This window comes from Homo sapiens, chromosome 12, assembly GCF_000001405.40.
Source record: "Homo sapiens chromosome 12, GRCh38.p14 Primary Assembly".
NCBI classification, from domain to species: domain Eukaryota; kingdom Metazoa; phylum Chordata; class Mammalia; order Primates; family Hominidae; genus Homo; species Homo sapiens.
This window is the reverse complement of record NC_000012.12, coordinates 64832735-64851890: the sequence shown is the minus strand read 5'-3', so window position 1 is coordinate 64851890 and position 19156 is coordinate 64832735. Positions and strand designations below refer to the sequence as shown.

The following is a 19156-nucleotide window of genomic DNA, read 5'->3' as shown; positions in this document are numbered from 1 at the left end:
GTGGATCTCTCTGCAGAAACCCTACAAGCCAGAAAAGAGTGAAGGCCAATATTCAATTTTCTTAAAGAAAAGAATATTCAGCCCAGAATCTCACATCCAGCCAAACTAAGTTTCATAAGCAAAGGAGAAATAAAATCCCAGACAAGCAAATGCTGAGAGATTTTGTTACCACCAGGCCTGCCTCACAAGAGCCCCTTAAGGGAGCACTAAATATGGAAAGGAAAAACTGGTACCAACCACTGTAAAAACATACCAAATTGTAAAGACCAACAACACTATGAAGAAACTGCATCACCTAATGAGCAAAATAACCAGCTAGCATCATAATGATCTAATTCACACATAACAATATTAATCTTAAATGTAAATGGGCTAAATGCCCCAATTAAAAGACACAGACTGGCAAACTGGATAAAGAGTCAAGACCCATCGGTGTGCTGTACTCAGAAGACCCATCTCACGTGCAAAGACTACATAGGCTCAAAATAAAGGGATGGAGGAAGATTTACCAAGCAAATGGGATATTGGCCTGAAATTTTCTTTTTTTGTTGTGTCTCTGCCAGGTTTTGGTATGAGGATGATGCTGAACTCATAAAATGAGGATCAGAGTGGAACTGAAGGAGATAGAGACATGAAAAACCCTTCAAAAAAAATCAATGAATCCAGGAGGTGGTTTTTTGAAAAGATTAACAAAATAGACAGACCGCTAGCCAGACTAATAAAGAAGAAAAGAGAGAAGAATCAAATAGACACAATAAAAAATGATACAGGAAATATCATCACTGATCCCGCAGAAACACAAACTACCATCAGAGAATACTATAAACACCCCTAGGCAAATAAACTAGAAAATCTAGAAGAAATGAATAAATTCCAGGACACATACACCCTCCTAAGTCTAAACCAGGAAGAAGTCAAATCCCTGAATAGACCAATAACAAGTTCTGAAATTGAGGCAGTAATAGCCTACCAACCAAAGAAAGCCCAGGATCAGATGGATTCACAGCCAAATTCTACTAGAGGTACAAAGAGGAGCTGGTACCATTCCTTCTGAAACTATTCCAATCAATAGAAAAAGAGGGACTCCTCCCTAACTCATTTTATGAGACCAGCATCATCCTCATATGAAAACCTGGCAGAGACACAACAAAAAAAGAAAATTTCAGGCCAATATCCCCAATGAACATCGATGCAAAAATCCTCAATAAAATACTGGCAAACCAAATCCAGCAGCACATCAAAAAGCTTACCCACCACAGTCAAGTTGGCCTTATCTCTGGGATGCAAGGCTGGTTCAATATATGCAAATCAATAAACGTAATCCATCACATAAACAGGACCAATGACAAAAACCACAATTATCTCAACAGATGCAGAAAAGGCCTTCGACAAAATTCAACACCGCTCCATGCTAAAAACACTCAATAAACTAGGTATTGATGGAATGTATCTCAAAATAATAAGAGCTATTTATGACAAACCCACAGCCAATATCATACTGAATGGGCAAAAGCTGGAAGCAGCATTCCCTTTGAAAACTGGCACAAGACAAGGATACCCTCTCTCATCACTCCTATTCAACACAGTATTAGAAGTTCTGGCCAGGGCAATCAGGCAAGAAAAAGAAATAAACAGTATTCAAATAGGAAGAGAGGAAGTCAAATTGTTTCTGTTTGCAGATGACACAATTGTATATTTAGAAAACCCCATCATCTCAGCCCAAAATCTCCTTAAGCTGATAAGCAACTTCAACAAAGTGTCAGGATATAAAATCAATGTGCAAAAATCACAAGCATTCCTCTACACCAGTAACAGACAAACAGAGAGCCAAATCATGAGTGAACTCCCATTCACAATTGCTACAAAGAGAATTAAATACCTAGAAATACAACTTACAAGGGATGTGAAGGACCTCTTCAAGGAGAACTACAAATCACTGCTCAAGGAATAAGACAGGGCACAAACAAATGGAAAAACATTCCATGCTCATGGATAGGAAGAATCAATATCATGATAATGGTCATACTGCCCAAAGTAATTTACAGATTCAATGCTATCCCCATCAAGTTACCATTGACTTTCTTCACAGAATTAGAAAAAACTACTTTAAATTTCATATGGAACCAAAAAAGAGCCCATATAGCCAAGACACTCCTAAGCAAAAAGAACAAGCTTGAGGCATCACACTACCCCGACTTCAAACTATACTACAAGGCTACAGTAACCAAAACAGCATGGTATTGGTACCAAAACAAATATATAAACCAATGGAACAGAACAGAGGCCTCAGAAATAACACCACACATCTACAACCATCTGATCTTTGAAAAACCTGACACAAACGAGCAATGGGGAAAGGATTCCCTATTTATAAATGGTGTTGGGAAAACTGGCTAGTCACATGCAGAAAACAAACTGGATTCCTTCCTTACACCTTCTACAAAAATTAACTCAAGATGGATTAAAGACTTAAACGTAAGACCTAAAACCATAAAAACCCTAGAAGAAAACCTAGGTGATACCATTCATGACACAGACATCGGCAAAGACTTCATGACTAAAACACAAAAAGCAATGGCCACAAAAGCCAAAATAGACAAATGGGATCTAATTAAACTAAAGAGCTTCTGCACAGCAAAAGAACCTATCATTAGAGCAAACAGGCAACCTACAGAATAGGAGAAAACTTTTGTAATCTATCCATTTGACAAAGGGCTAATATCCAGAATCTACAAGGAACTTAAATGAATTTACAAGAAAAACACAAAAAAACCCATCAAAAAGTGGGCAAAGGATATGAACAGACACTTCTCAAAAGAAGACACTTATGCAGCCAACAAACATATGAAAGAAAGCTCATCATCACTGGTCATTAAAGAAATGCAAATCAAAACCACAATGAGATACCATCTCACACCAGTTAGAATGGCAATCATTAAAAAGTCAGGAAACAACAGATGCTGGAGAGGATGTGGAGAAATAGGAATGCTTTTACACTGTTGGTGGGAGTGTAAATTAGTTCAACCATTGTGGAAGACAGTGTGGCAATTCCTGAAGGATCTAGAACCAGAAATACCGTTTGACCCAGCAATCCCATTACTGGGTATATACCCAAAGGATTGTAAATCATTCTACCATAAAGACACATGCACACTTACATTTACTGCAGCACTATTCACAATAGCAAAGACTTGGAACCAACCCAAATTCCCATCAATGATAGACTGGATAAAGAAAATGTAGCACATATACACCATGGAATACTATGCAGCCATAAAAAAGGGTGAGTTCATGTCCTTTGCAGGGACATGGACGAAGCTGGAAACCATCATTCTCAGCAAAGTAACACAGGAGCAGAAAACCAAACACCACAGGTTCTCACTTATAAGTGGGAGCTGAACAATGAGAACACATGGACACAGGGAGGGGAACATCACATACCGGGGCCTGTCGCGGGGTATGGGGCTAAGGGAGGGATAGCATTAGGAGAAATACCTAACATCGATGACAGGTTGATGGGGGCCACAAACCACCACGGCACATATATACCTATGTAACAAACCTGCACATTCTGCACGTGTATCCCAGAACTTAAAGTATACTAAAGAAAAAAAAAAGATACACATAGACTGAAAATGAAGGGATGGAAAAAGTTATTCCATGCCAATGGAAAGCAAAAAAGGAGCAGGAGTAGCTATACTTCCATCAGAAAAAATAGATTTCAAGACAAAAATTAAGAAGAGACAAAGAAGGTCATTATGTAATGATAAAGGGGTCAATTCAGCAAGAGGATATAATGATTATAAATATATATGCACCCAACACTGGAGCACCCAGATATAATAAAGTAAATATTATTAGAGCTAAAGAGAGAGATAGACCCAAGCACAGTGACGGCTAGAGATTTCAATACCCTACTTTCGGCATTGGACAGATCACCCAGACACAAAATCAACAAAAAAAATCATCAAATTTAATCTGTACTATAGAACAAATGGACCTAGTAGATATTTACAGAACATTTCATCCAACACCTGTAGAATACACATTTTTCTCTTCAGCATATGGATCGTTCTCAAGGATAGATCATATGTTAGGTCACAAAACAAGTCTTAAAATATTCAAAAAATTGAAACAGTATCAAGTATCTTCTCTGACCACAATGGAATAAAACTACAAATCAATAACAAGAGGAATTTTGCAAACTATACGAACACATACAAATTAAACAATATGCTCTTGAGTGACCAGTGGGTCAATGAAGAAACTAAAAAGGAAACTGAAAATGTTCTTGAAACTAATAATAATAAAAATACAACATACTAAAACCTATGGGGTCACAGTGAAAGCAGTACTAAGAGGGAAATTTATAGCTATAAGTGCCTACATCAAAAAACAAGAAAAACGTCAAATAAATAATGTAATGACATATATTAAAGCACTAGAAAAACAAGAGCAAACCCAACCCAAAATTAGTAGAAGAAACAATAAAGATCAGAGCAGAAATAAATGAAATTGAATGAAAAAACCATACAAAAGATTAAAGAAATGAAAAGTTGGTTTTTTTGAAAAGATATATAAAACTGAAACACCTGTAGCCAGACTAAGAAAAAAAGAGAGAAGATCCAAATAAACAAACTCAGAGATGAAAAAGGAGACATTACAACTGATACCACAGAAAATCAAAGGATCATTAGTGACTGCTATGAGCAACTGTATACCAATAAATCAGAAAATCTAGAGAAAATGGATAAATTCCTAGACACATACAACCTACCAAGATTGAAAAATGAAGGAATCCAAAACCTGAACACACCAATAACAAGTAACAAGACTGAAGCCATAATAAAAAATCTCCCAGTAAAGAAAAATCACTAGCATCTCTATATGCAAACAGTGAACAATCTGAAAAAGAAATTTTAAAATCCCATTTATAATAGCAACAAATAAAATTAACTACCTAGGAATTAAGTTAACCAAAGAAATGAAAGAGCTCTACAATGACAACCATAAAACATTAATGAAAGAAATTGAAGAGGACACAAAAAAATGGGAAGATACAACATGTTCATGGATTGCAAGAATCAATATTGTTAAAATGTCCATACTACCTAAGGCAATCTACAGATTTGATACAATCTCTATCAAAATACCAATGACATTCTTTACAGAAATAGAAAAGTAATCCTAACATTTATATGGAACCACAGAAGACCCAGAACAGTCAAAGCTATTCCGAGCAAAAAGAACAAAACTGGAGGAATCACATTATTTGACTTCAAATTATACTACTATTATAGTAACCCAAACAGCATGGCATAAAAACAGACACATAGACCTATGGAACAGAACAGAGAACCCAGAAACAAATCCACATATCTACAGTGAACTCATTATCGGCAAAGGTGCCAAGAACACACATTGGGGAAAAGACAATCTCTTCAATAAATAGTGCTAGGAAAACTAGACATCCATACACAGAAGAACAAAACTAGACCCCTATCTCTTGCCATATACAAAAATCAATCAAAATGGATTAAAAACTCAAATCTAAGACCTCAAACTATGAAACTAATACAATAAAACATTGGAAAAACTCTACAAAACATTGGAGTGGGCAAAAATTTCTTGAGTAATACCCCATGAGCACAGACACCCAAAGCAAAATGGACAAATGGGATCATATAAAGTTAAAAAGCTCCTGCACAGCAAAGAAAACAATCAACAACATAAAGAGACAACTCAAAGAGTGGGAGAAAATATTTGCAAACTACTCATCTGAAAAGGGATTAATAACCAGAATATTCAAGTAGCTCAAATAACTCTTATAATCTTATAATTCGATTAAAAATGGGCAAAAGATCTGAATAGCCATTTCTCAAAAGAAGATATACAAATGACGAACAGGCTTATGAAAAGGTGCTCAAGGCCAGGCACGGTGGCTCACGCCTATAATCCCAGCATTTTGGGAGGCCAAGCTCGGCGGGAGGATCACTTGATGTCAGGAGTTTGAGACCAGCCTGGCCAATATGGCGAAACCCCATCTCTACTAAAAATACAAAAATTAGCCTGGCATGGTGGCAAACACCTATAGTTCCAGCTACTCGGGAGGCTGAGGCACGAGAATCGCTTGAACCCAGGAGCGATTTTTTTTTTTTTTTTTTGAGACGGAGTCTCACTCTTGTTGCCCAGGCTGGAGTACAGTGGCACGATCTCGGCTCACTGCAAGCTCTGCCTCCCAGGTTCACGCCATTCTCCTGCCTCAGCCTCCTGAGTAGCTGGGACTACAGGCACCCGCCACCACGCCTGGCTAATTTTTTGTATTTTACATAGAGACAGGGTTTCACCGTGTTAGTCAGGATGGTCTCGATCTCCTGACCTCGTGATCTGCCCGCCTCAGCCTCCCAAAGCGCTGGGATTACAGGCATGAGCCACCGCGCTCAGCCCCCAGGAGCAATTGTTGAACCGCAATTTGGTGAGCTGAGATGGTGCCACTGCACTCCAGCCTGGGGACAGAAAATCACTGATCATCAGAAAAATGCAAATCAAAATGACAATGAAATATTATCTCACCCAGTTAAAATGGCTTTTAATCAAGACAGGCAGTAACAAATGCTGGCAAGGATGTGGAGAAAAGGGAACCCTTGTACACTGTTGGTGGGAATGTAAATTAGTACAACCACTATGGAAAACAGGTTGGAGGTTCCTCAAAAAAAACTAAAATTAGAGCTACCATATGATCCAAAAATTCCCTGCTGGGTACAAGCCCAAAAGAAAGGAAATCAGTATATCAAAACAGTATCTGCACTCCCATGTTTCTCGCAGCACTGTTCACAATAGCCAAGAATTGGAAGCAACCTAAGTATCCATCAACCAATGAACGGATAAAGAAAATGTGGTATATATACAATATGGAGTACTATTCAGCCATAAAAAGAAGAATGAGATTCTGTCATTTGCAACAACATGGATGGAAATGGAGGTCATTACGTTAAGTGAAATAAGCCAGGCACGGAAAGACAAACTTTGAATGTTCTCACTTATTTGTGGGAGCTTATTTGTGGATGGAAATGGAGGTCATTATATTAAGTGAAATAAGCCAGGCATGGAAAGACAAACTTTGAATGTTCTCACTTAATTGTGGGAGCTGAAAATTAAAACAATTGAACTGATAGAGATAGACAGTAGAAGGATGGTTTCCAGAGGCTGGGAAGAGTAGTTGATAGGGAAGAAGAGATAGTTAGTGGGTACAAAAAGTAGTTAGAAAGAATGAATAAGACCTAGTATTTGATAGCACAACAGGGTGACTATAGTCAATAGTAATTTAATTGTACATTTAGAAATAAATTTAAAAGTATAATTGGATTGTCTGTAACACAAAGGATAAACATTTGGGGAGGAATACCCCATTTACCCTGATATGATTATTATGCATTGCATGCCTGTATCAAAGTGTCTCATGTACCCCATAAATATATGCACCTACTACGTGCCCACAAAAATTAGAAATTAAAAAAAGAATCTAATGGAAGAGTGAGTGTTAATAAGACAGCTATTTTTTCTATACTTGCTGTCAATTTCAAAGACTTGATGAATATGATATTGACGTACAGTAACATGCCATAAAAAATAACTAAACCCTTCAAGTCTTTCACTTTAAAATTTATGATTAATATATAATTACCTGAGTTGAAAGTGTGGGCAAAACAAATGAATCAAAATGCTGATGAGAATAATCTTTTTTATCCTCAATAATTTATTCCCCACAATAAGTGTTTCCCCCCACAAGTCTAAGTAGGCTGGGCACAGTGGTTCATGCCTATAATCCCAGCACTTAGGAAGGCCGCAGTGGGAGGATCACTTGAGTCTAGGAGTTCAAGACTAGCCTAGGCAACATAACAAGACTCCATCTATACAAAAATAAAAATAAAAAATTAGCTGTATGGTGGCATACGCCTGTAGTCCCAGTTACTCAGGAGCCTGAGGTGGCAGGATCACTTAAGCCCAGGAGACAGAGGCTACAGTGAGCAACGATTGTGCCACTGCACTCCAGCCAGGGTGACAGAATGAGACAGTCTCAAAAAAGAAAAGAAAGACTAAGAATAAAATTCAGAATAAGCACTTGGTGATTTTGTTTTTCCAGTGTATTTTTCCAGTTTATATTGCTGCTAATGACTTCTAAGCAACACAGTCTGACAGAAAGCTACAACAAATATCCATCATTCATTTCTTCCTTCCTTCTATGACATAGATTCTTATCAAATTATAAACAGACTCTTGGTCAATTTGAGAAACTAAGTCTGACAGCTAACCAAGCACATTTCTCAAGACCGCTGCTCTGGCACTGGTTGTTCCCACCGTGCCCGGGGTTCCCCGAGCCAAGCTGCTCCATGTTGCCGACTCACCTGCATGAGTTCATGGCTTTGCAGAAGATCATTCTCTAGCATCTCCTGGGTAAGGCGCCCCATGGTGCTGTAGAATTCATCTGCTGTTTCACAACATTCTATCTGCCTAGATAAAGAAAGGACAGAAAATACAACTTGTTTAGGGCATCCATGCTGTGTAACAGTACATGCTGCAGGTATAAGATATGTTGGACTGGGCATGGTGGCTCATGCCTATAATCCCAGCACTCTGGGAGGCTGGGGCGGGAGGATTGCTTGAGGCCAGGAGCCTCAATGCAGCAAGACCCCATCTCTCCAAATAATTTTAAAAATCAGCTGGGTATCGTGGCGCACACCTGTGGTCCTAGCTACTCAGGAGGCTAAAGCAGGAGGATCACCTGAGCCTGGGAGGCTAAGTCTGCAGTAAACCATGATAGCACCACTGCAATCCAGCCTGGATAACACAGTGAGACCCTGTCTCAAAAAAGGGCAGGGGGCAGTTGCCTTTTGCCATCAAATAACTCAGGTTATCAATCAACAAATATCAAAATCCTGATATTTGTAAAGCCCACTGTGGATGAAACATTTAAAAATACCAAAAGCAACTTTGAGGTACTCGTTTTGGGTAAGTCCTGTCATTCCTACTTGGCACTCCTCGCCTCACAGTCCCACCTGTGGCATCTTTATTGCTTCCATGGGACACAATCTACACATCAGAATTCCCACCACTCGTTAGAAAGCATAACCATGAAATTGGGTACTAAAAAACAATTATCTCCTTTAAGGGACTCTGTTGGTCTTAATCTGCAAACAGTGATATCATTAATATAATAGATTTAAAACCAAACCACAGTAGGAATAAAAGATGACAATTACAAGAACTGTATCTGCATATTTCATCAGTCCATGGGGTGTTTTCACAGGCAGAATTTTCTGAGTTCTTCTCAGGGTGCTGCTGCTAGTTGGAGATTACACCTCTTCTTGCATTCAGTTCTACATGTAAATAAAGAATCTGACACTCACTTGGCTACCTGTGAGCCAGGTTGGACTTCAATCTTTCTTCTACAAAGGGGAAAACAGAAGAGCCCAAAACAAAGAGTACCAGGTATTTCCATTTTGTTTGTTTATTTATTTATTTATTTTTTCTTGTGACAAAGTCTTGCTCTGTTGCCCAGGCTGAAGCACAGTGGTGTGATCTTGGCCTGCTGCAACCTCCACCTGTTGGGCTTAAGCAATCCTCCTGCCTCAGCCTCCCGAGTAGTTGAGGTTACAGGCACCCACCACCACACCCTGCTGGTTTTTTGTATTTTTAGTAGAGATGGGGCTTCACCATGTTGGCCAGGCTGGTCTCAAACTCCTGGCTTCAAGTGATCCACCTGCTTCGGCCTCTCAAAGTGCTGGGATTACAGGCATGAGCCATGGCACCCAGCCTAGGTATTTCCATTTTATATGACAACGTTGTTTGTATTGTAGGATAACTCTAGTTTCCCACCAACCAGAAGACCTACACTTTGATACATACTAATATTGGGGGATTTCTGTAAAGCCATCCAAAATAATATGATTATGGAAAAACCATAGGTTCTGGAGTGTTGTTCTAATCCCATTGCCACAAATGTAAATAAATGAATGGAACAAACTGCTGAAATATTACTATAAAAGAGCAGAGCAGCCTGTGGACATGAATGAAAGGTACTTAAGTTTACCCTGGGAGGTAAGGAAGAGAAATAATGCTTGAGATGAGTTTTGAAAAGTGTTTTTCAGGCTGACAAGGAAGAAAAAACATCCCAAAGACACAGATGCAGGAGACAGCAGGCCTTATCTGGGGAACTGCAAGTAGCTCCGCACAACCAGCGAGACCAGCACTGGGGTAGTGGTTGCAGGACCAGAGGAAGCCAGTGAGAGCTGAGGGAAGAGAGCTACTGAGAGCAGAGAGCAAAGGCCTCACCTGCCAGCTGAGCCTCTACAGAGCATGAGTCACGAAAAGGCTTTAATAGGGAGTGAGGGAACAGCTGTGCCCTTGGCAAGGTCTGCCTGGAGGTGGCATGGCAAGTGTGGATTACCATGAGGAAACCAAGGAGGACACACCACAGTGGGCCAGGCATGGGGTGACAAGGGAGGAAACCAAAACAGCAGGGGCAGAGGAGAAAGGACACATAAAGAGATGCTAGTGATGGCGTGCTGATGGTCTACAATTTACATATTCCCAAGTACCCTTGGGGTGAGCGAAAGGTAGAAATTCCAAGTTGCAGAAGTCAGGTGAAAGGAGAGGTCCTGGATCACCATATATAAGGCACATGTTACTCAGGTGTACATAAACTGGAGATTACCTATATGCTTTTATGGTTTTTCCAACAGGAAGTTTGTGGGGAAGATTACAGGCACTAGAATCAGAAAGTTCCATATTGAAGTCCCAGTTCTGCTATTCACTGGCTGTGTGACTATGAACTAGCTAATTAACCTTCCTGGGGAAATTTTCTTACTGAAAAGACAGGGAGAATAACCCTATCTACTCCACAGGGTTATTGGGAGAACTGAATGAGATGATGTGTTTAAACTGCCTAACACAATGGCAGGCACTGCAGGCACTTATGATGTATGTCAATTGCCTTTCCTTTCCCTTAACAAGCTGCATGCTCAAAACATATAGAATTATAATAAGCAAAAACTGAAAGAGTTAAAATTCTATCATTCTGATTCATATATCCCCTAAACTTCAAAAAGACCAGCCATTTATTATCAGTAGATTCACATTATTAAAAGCACAGACTCTAGAGCCAGGAATGCCTGGGTTCAAATTCAGGCCATTCCACTTAGTAATTAGGTGACTTTAGACAATTAACTGAACTTCTGTGTGCCTCAATTCTCACATCTATAAAATGGAGATGACAACAGTGCGTACTTTATAGGATGATGAAGAATACATGAGTTTATCCATGCAGAGTAATTAGAACAGCGACTGTTCATTGCAAGCACTCAATGAATATTGGCTTTTGTTGCAGCTATTATTATTTCAACAGTATGACATCCCTGGGATGATCTTAGGAATAAATTCTGATCCTACAGATTAATGGATAGAGAGGAGTAAAACCAGGATAACCTCTTTTCTTCCTGCTCCTTCATGAAGAACCAACACAAAGGCAATTATAACTGACTCATCATACAGTAAAGTGCTTTACTATTTTAATGTTATAAACCAGCTATGCAGCAACTGGACTACCACACCCAAAGAAACTATCAGAGCTCAAAGGGCTTACAATGTATAGAGTAAGTTGGAAATACATGGCTGCAGCAAGAGGTAGCTATTGGGGGGTAATGAAAGATAAGTAAATAGCACACCAAATCCCATACAGATGAATTTATTTACCCAGCTGAAAAGCAATGTACAATAAAACCAAGGCAAAGGAGATAGCTAGGTGATGTTTAAAAATACACACAATAATAATTTTTTTAAGTCCCTGAATTGATAGTTGGTGGATTTTTTTTTTTTTTTTTTTTTTTTGAGACAGAGTCTTGCTCTGTCGTCCAGGCTAGAGTGCAGTGGCACGATCTCGGCTCACTGCAAGCTCCGTCCCCTGGGTTCACGCCATTCTCCTGCCTCAGCCTCCCGAGTAGCTGGGAATACAGGTGCCCACCACTACGCCCAGCTAATTTTTTGTATATTTAGTAGAGACGGGGTTTCACCGTGTTAGTCAGGATGGTCTCGATCTCCTGAACTCGTGACCCACTGCCTCAGCCTCCCAAAGTGCTGGGATTATAGGCGTGAGCTACCGCGCTCGGCCGATAGTTGGTGGATCTTTCTTTGCAAAATTGTTAAAAATGCCAGAAGTCTCCCAGGAAACAACTTACCATAAATACAAAGGCTAGTTAAAAGGTTTTTGAAACAAAACAGTGCCAGTGATTTACTAGTTTTGTGACATGTTGTCTGTGGGAACCCACTCGTCATTTATAGCTCCAGAAGAGAAATGGTAAAAACTTCACTGCTTCTTAACTATAAGTTTCATCCTAATGCTTCTTCCGTTACCCAAAAGGCACAACATTTATGTAGTAATCATAATATATCAAAGGTGAATGAAAAATACCCTATCTTTTTCAGCCCTGCTACTAGTAAAGAATATAAGCAAAATCTATTTGGTAATATGTTTTGGCAGTAACAGATTCCAACAGAGAATTAATTCTTAATGAAAGGAAAGAAGTTCTATGTGTTCTACCAGGCTAGATATCTTGTTATCTCATTTGATTTTATCACAGCCCTGAAAGGCAGAACAAAATAAAGATTCATCAATAATTCAAATTATGATATTAACTAACAAATTCACCTACTCCTAACCAGATCTTTCAGTTTCTCTGCCACCTAAGTTCCTTTCCCTCTTCCCAACTAGTGTCCAAAGAGATGCTGACAAAGAGTGAACCAGCCAGGACACAAGCACTTGAGGAGGAGTGGGAGAATCTACAGGCCTAAAGGCATCTGCCCCCTTCTCCAAAATAGACTGTATGTGCCAGCAATGAGCCTGCTGAGATTTCAGGAGGCTAAAGCAATTTTAAAAGTTCACAACTTTCTCATTTCACTTAAATATTGCTTTACACGTTAGAGCACAAAAACTGCTTAAGGCCCTCAACATCACAGAACAGAGCAGAAGGTGGAAATCACTTACTCTCCTAATTTTGCCCAGATAGCCAGCGACACCCTTAGGATGATTTCTGAACCTTCAAAGAAGACTGAATCCCAGATCTTTAAAACGGTCTGATTAGGGAGGCATGTGGCAAAGAGAGTCAGAAACCACTGCATCGTGAAGACATTTGTAAGTGGGGGCTCATATCCACCTGAAATAAAACAAACACATTCAATTCCTTCAGAACTGATGATTGGCAGCATATGCAGATACCCTTTTCTAGTCTTCCATGTCCACTCAAATTTGTTGTATTTCCTGACTGATTTCTTCATATTTCTAAACTCTTGTTCTTTCTTTTTTCTGCCATGTTTCTGGAAGAACACAGGTATGCTTAACAAATATGAACTTCAAAAAATATTTACAATACTTCAGAAATCTTAACCTAAAACTTACTTTGGCTCTACCTATTGTAGTGAGCTGAAAATTAAGGAGAAAGTTTTCCTCACCAAAAACAGAAGAAAAAGAAAGGACTTAAGCCTCTCAAAAGCAAAAGCCATCAGATTTTCAAAATCATATAATGCCCACTTATATTCAAATGCTGCTTTGATAAGAATAAATTGCTCACTATAAATTATCTACCAACTTCTTAAGTTATACTTAGTTCTCAGACCACAGTGGAGTTAAACTAGAAATCATTAACAGAAAGATAGCTGGCAAATCCCAAAATAGAGAATAAACATTACATTTAAAAATATTTCCAACTAAAGATCTGGCGTCCAGCAAATTTTGAAATTTCTAAATTTATTAAAAAACATAGTACTCCCTCTTACTTTATGTGATCAGTATATATTTTTATGAAATATAAATATTTAGATATTTACACTGATCCTCCCTTCAAATTACAGCCAATATGTACAATTATACCTAAGTGTAAACAAAAAGATGTCTGTTTTCCTATATTCATTTTCTTCTTCCTTACCTATGAACAATGGGAGTATCTTTGTTCAGAGACTAGAATCTGAGGTTGCTCCTCACAGCCAAGTGCAAGGCACTTGGGTAAAAACATGTAGCTCACTAAAGTGTGTCTGACTAGGGGACAGGGAAGATTGGCCTATCCGGAAGCATTATAAAATCTACACAGTTATACTGCAGAGCCAAGTTAAACGAGATTATTCAAATGGTTTAGAAGGAAATGCCTAGAGACATTCAGGTATCTCTGGGTCCGTGGCCTGCTAGGAACCAGGCCACACAGCAGGAGGTGAGCAGCAAGCAAAACTTCATCTGTATTTACAGCCACTCCCCATTGTTTACTACCTGAGCTCTGCCTCCTATCAGATCAGCAGCACCATTAGATTCTCATAGGAGCACAAGGCCTATTGTGAACGGTGCACGTGAGGGATCTAGGTTTCGCGCTCCTTATGAGAATCTAATGCCTGATGAGCCGTCACTTTCTCCCATCACCCCCAGTTGGGACCATCTAGTTGCAAGAAAACAAGTTCAGAGCTCCCACTGATCCTACATTACAGTGAGTTGTGTAATTACTTCATTATGTATTACAATGTAATAATAATAGAAATAAAGTACACAATAAATATGCTTGAATCATCCTGAAACTATCCCCAAGCCCTGGTCTGTGGAAAAACTGTCTTCCCGGAAACTGGTCCCTGGTGCCAAAAAGGTTGGGGACCACTGGTTTGGAGGAAACACAACAAACTCCTGACTATTCTGTACGCACAGCCAGGGAAGTACAAGCAGTAGGTATAATGACAGCTATGAGCTCAGATACTTCCAAAAGCTGGATGATGCCCAATAGATAGCAGCGGCTCTTAGCTACTCTTTCATAATCTCAATGGTTCAGGTAAAACCAGTTTGTACTAAATTGTACCTGTAGCTCATTTTTAAAGACTCCTACAGGTTTGGTGCCAGCTTAGAGCAGTTTAACTAGATAGTAAGATGTGTACATGGTATTCCATCCAGAGTACATCATTTCAGTTGTTGATCTGGTACTAGTATTAGGCTCTTCACTGACTTCCTAATTATGACCAGTTAGAGGTTCAACATGTGGCCTTTTGTTGTTGTCAGTTTTGTTTTCATTCTCTAAAAATCTATTTCATTACACCAAGCTCTTACAAAAATAGCTGGAAATACATATTTCCATTCAATGTTTAGGCTCATTTGTACAGTGGAATCAGAGAAGACAAATATTTTCAGAGTTATAATAGCATTGAAACCTACCTCCACTTTCTTTGTTTGCAGTTCTCTGAAGAGTATCCAGGTGCTGAGATAATTCCGGCAGCTTCATTCTTAAAAGGTCTCTGAAGACAGCCATATCCACAGACAATGCCCGGAGATTATTGACGAAATAGCTTTCGGGAAGTACCTTATCAATAAGGTAAATCATAATCTAAAGAAAAAAAGATAAAGCTTAAGACTGCTTTGTAAAAACTGGGATCCCAACACGTCCTAAAGAGAAAATAAGTATTCAAATAGATAAAACGCTGTTAGCCAAAGCACGCTATCCTTAAATGCATCAGTACCAAATGTTCCAGATTTACAAGGCTCTCCTACAGCCTGGCTAGGGAGCATGTGGCATAATCATCTAAGTAACTCAGACCCCAAGTCCGCTGCTGTCTGAAATTTCTAGATGGGTTGCTAGACCTGAGTTCGGCCCATAAGTAGCTGTGATTATGCAACCCTTAGCGTCATTCTGAGAAATGACAAAGCCCAAGCTTGTGCAGCAGCCAGCAGAGCCTCAGTATTGGCTCCTTGATGTCAGCACAGTTTTACAACCTCAATATGAAAACTAAGAGCAGGCCTATCATAAAACACCCCCACTGAAGCAGCTCTCAAGATTTACTCACCATCAACCTGGGCTATTAGAGCAACTCATGTTGGCTCTTTGTCCGCTTCCTGGGAAAATGCAACTATGCTTTGCTTGAACAAATAGTACTTTTCAGAATCTGTATTTCTTTCATAAGGTTGTTATAGAGGTTCTTCAAATTGCTATTTTCATTTTGATTTTTCTACTTGTATTACCTTTCCTAAAATGTCAAGAACCTCTAGAATGACCCAGCCAAACACATACGAGCTCTGTATGTCAATCCCTGGTTCTTTCCCACCAAACTCTTACCAACAAAAATACCTGGAACCATGTATTTCCATTCAATGTTTAGGCTCATTTGTACAGTGGAATCGGAGAAGTCAGATATTTTCAGAGTTATAATAGTATTGAATCACTACCTCTACTTTCTTTGTTTGCAGTTCTCTGAAGAGCATCCACGTGCTAATTCAGGTGGCTTCATTCTTAAAAGGTCTGGCATGCTATGTACCTGACCCATTCCCTAAAAGACCAGCTCCTTCCCAAAAGCACCAGAAAAACAAAATTAAGAACAAAATCATAACTGGTTCTATATATATAATGGGCTCTATGTCGATGGAAAAGTAGCTATCTCACATTTTGACACTCAGGATACTATAAAACTCTATTTCCACCCCCTAACCCGCCCCACAAAAACAAAAATCTCCCACCCTGCCAAGGGCCCATTTTCCCCTCCTCCCCAGCTTATAATTTCCACTTTTCAGGGTCACAGTTTTGAACGAGTCAGTAGGGCAGGGGCATGCTCTTGAGGAGGACCCTCTCCTTTGCTGTAAGGTGGCCAGACCCAGAAGGCCTTAGCCTTCTTATGTTAGGATAAAATTTACCAGGTACACGTAACATCATCTTGCAAATAAGAGCTCAGCAACAAGAAAGGAGTAAATTCTGTCTCTGCGGGAAGAGGAGGTTCTGGGAGGCAGCAGCTGATGAGGAGAGCAAGTTTCAGCATGGTAGAGTACCCTTGCAGGAACCTAGCACTCTATGGATCAGGATTAGAGGAATTTACAGGATCATGAATGCAGACGTAAAGGATGTACACTGACAACTGTTGTATTTTTCATCTAAGGATAAGACATAATGCTGAGAAAGATATTTGGTTTTTATTGAGAAATTATGATCTCTCAAAATTACATGAAAACAAGCAAAAAAAAAATTCTTCAATTATCATACTAATTCCTGTGACAGTGAAATTCTCTATCTGAAGGCATCTCAATGTCTGATGTGAAGACATAGAGCCAGCTCACTCAAACCACCCACCACTGTATTTCCAAGGTCAAATCTTAGATCAAAAAAAAAAAAAAAAAAAAAAAAGCCCGGCACGGTGGCTCATGCCTGTAATCCCAGCACTTTGGGAGACTGAGGCAGGAGGATCACCTGAGAGGTCAGGAGTTTGAGACCAGCCTGGTCAACATGGTGAAACCCCATCTCTACTAAAAATATAAAAATTTGCTGGGCGTGGTGGTGTATACCTGTAATCCCAGCTACTCGGGAGGCTGAGGCAGGAGAATTGCTTGAACCTGGAAGGTGGAGGTTGCAGTGAGACAAGATCATGCCACTGCACTCTAGCCTGGGTGACAGAGCAAGACTCTATCTCAAAAAAAAAAAAAAAAAAAAGATTTGGCTAAATAATGGGAGAGCTCTGAATTTTTAACAAAAGGTTGAAAATGAAAGATTTGCTAAGTAAAAACTTAAGTGCTAAATAGCAGGAAAAATGGTTCACCTATTTCTAATAAACTATATGTTTCCTTAGTAATTATGACTTGTAGAGGCCATGCTGAAAAAATAGATGTCCAATATTTTCCTCAACATCAGAAGTGTTTCTTCATGAAGCCAACCTTCCTCTGCATATTAAATGTCTAAACACAAGATCTATACACTCTTAAAGGATGATGACATCATCTCATTGCATGGAGCCCATTTTCGTGGGGGCTGAAATATTCAGTTTCTCATCTTTATCTAATCCATATTTTTACGTGAGTTTTTAATTTCCAGTTTCTCAAGTATTACTGAGCCCTTTTATAATTTGATTGGCATGTACATTTCCTTCCCTGAACATCTCCATCCGACCCCCTAACTTGATTCACTTATTCCAATTGCTCTAGAAAACAATTCCCATTTTATCATCATACCAATTCCATCTGAAAAAAAAAACTGATGAAAGCTGATAGACTGAGTAAACAAAATTGCTTCTTAATAAAAAACATCTTAAAGTCATGTATTTGTCACTGCCTTCCTCCCTCTCCTACCCTCACCTTTTTGATGAACAAGTAACTTCAAAGCTGCTTCCTTAAATACATCAATGGAAAAAGTGAGAGGTTGAATACAGATTTAGATCATGTCAAGCTGGATTTATAACTAGTCCACCATCATTTGTATAAAACCAAGAGGAACATTTGTTTATTTTTCCACATCACATTAATCAGTGATTGACAGTATCAATAAGGTATTCACCATAGTCAAACACAAGTTGTTGGGAGTGGGGTTGTGTCGGGGGGCGGTTCTTGAACACGAAGACTAAGTATCTATCTCATACATCACAAAGCATTGCAATCAAGAGCAGTTTAAAGGTTCAAATATGAATTAGTAATCCCACATTGCCTTAAGCAAATAGGCATTAGCCTCCACATTTAAAATGCTTCATTTCTCATAAGCACTCTATTTCTGGTGACTCACTGACACACATGCAAACTAAGCTTAAATCACTAGTGCCCCATCTCAACATGTTTTTAAAATTTGTTTTAACTAATAAAGGTCGTAGGCATCAAAGATTAAAAGATATTAATGTAAGTCAATTCCATAATGCTTCTCCATGCAAACACCTTCCTTAGACACTCACTCTCAGCCCAACTCCTCCATATCTTGCTCCAAATATGAAAGAGTAAAGCAACTCAATAAGGCAATCCAATCAAAATTAAGCATAACTAGTGTGGGAGGCAGTTCTAACATGACCCCTGAGTCACACCCTTGTATGAGCCCTTCTCCTTGACTATAAGCTGAACCTGGTGACTGGCTTCTAAAGAACAGAATATGGAAATATAGTGGGATGTCACTTCTGATGTTTGGCTACAAATCTGTAACTTAAACTCTTTTGCCTTGCTCACTATCTTTTACTCTCATGTTCACTTTGGGGGTGCCAGCCACTGGGTTGAGAGATGGAGAGGCTACATGGCAAGGAACTATAAAAGGCCTCCAGTCAACAGCCAGCAAGGAACCATGGCCTCAGTCCAACAGCCTGTGAGGAATTAAATCTTGCTAACAACCACATAAACAAACTCGAAAGCCAA

At 39.3% G+C, this 19156-nt stretch overlaps 1 protein-coding gene across 14 annotated transcripts in view; it reads right to left on the bottom strand.

The window, feature by feature from the left end:
• TBC1D30 (TBC1 domain family member 30) overlaps positions 1 to 19156 on the bottom strand; it is a 121550-nt gene that overhangs the window by 29143 nt on the left and 73251 nt on the right. For all 14 annotated transcript variants that reach the window (XM_047428595.1, XM_047428596.1, XM_024448903.2 and 11 more), the window contains 3 exons: positions 15233 to 15401; positions 13040 to 13208; positions 8406 to 8511 (listed from right to left, as the gene is read on the bottom strand). In XM_047428595.1, the coding sequence (XP_047284551.1) occupies positions 8406 to 8511; positions 13040 to 13208; positions 15233 to 15401 (444 nt within the window). The remainder of the gene's footprint in view (positions 1 to 8405; positions 8512 to 13039; positions 13209 to 15232; positions 15402 to 19156) is intronic.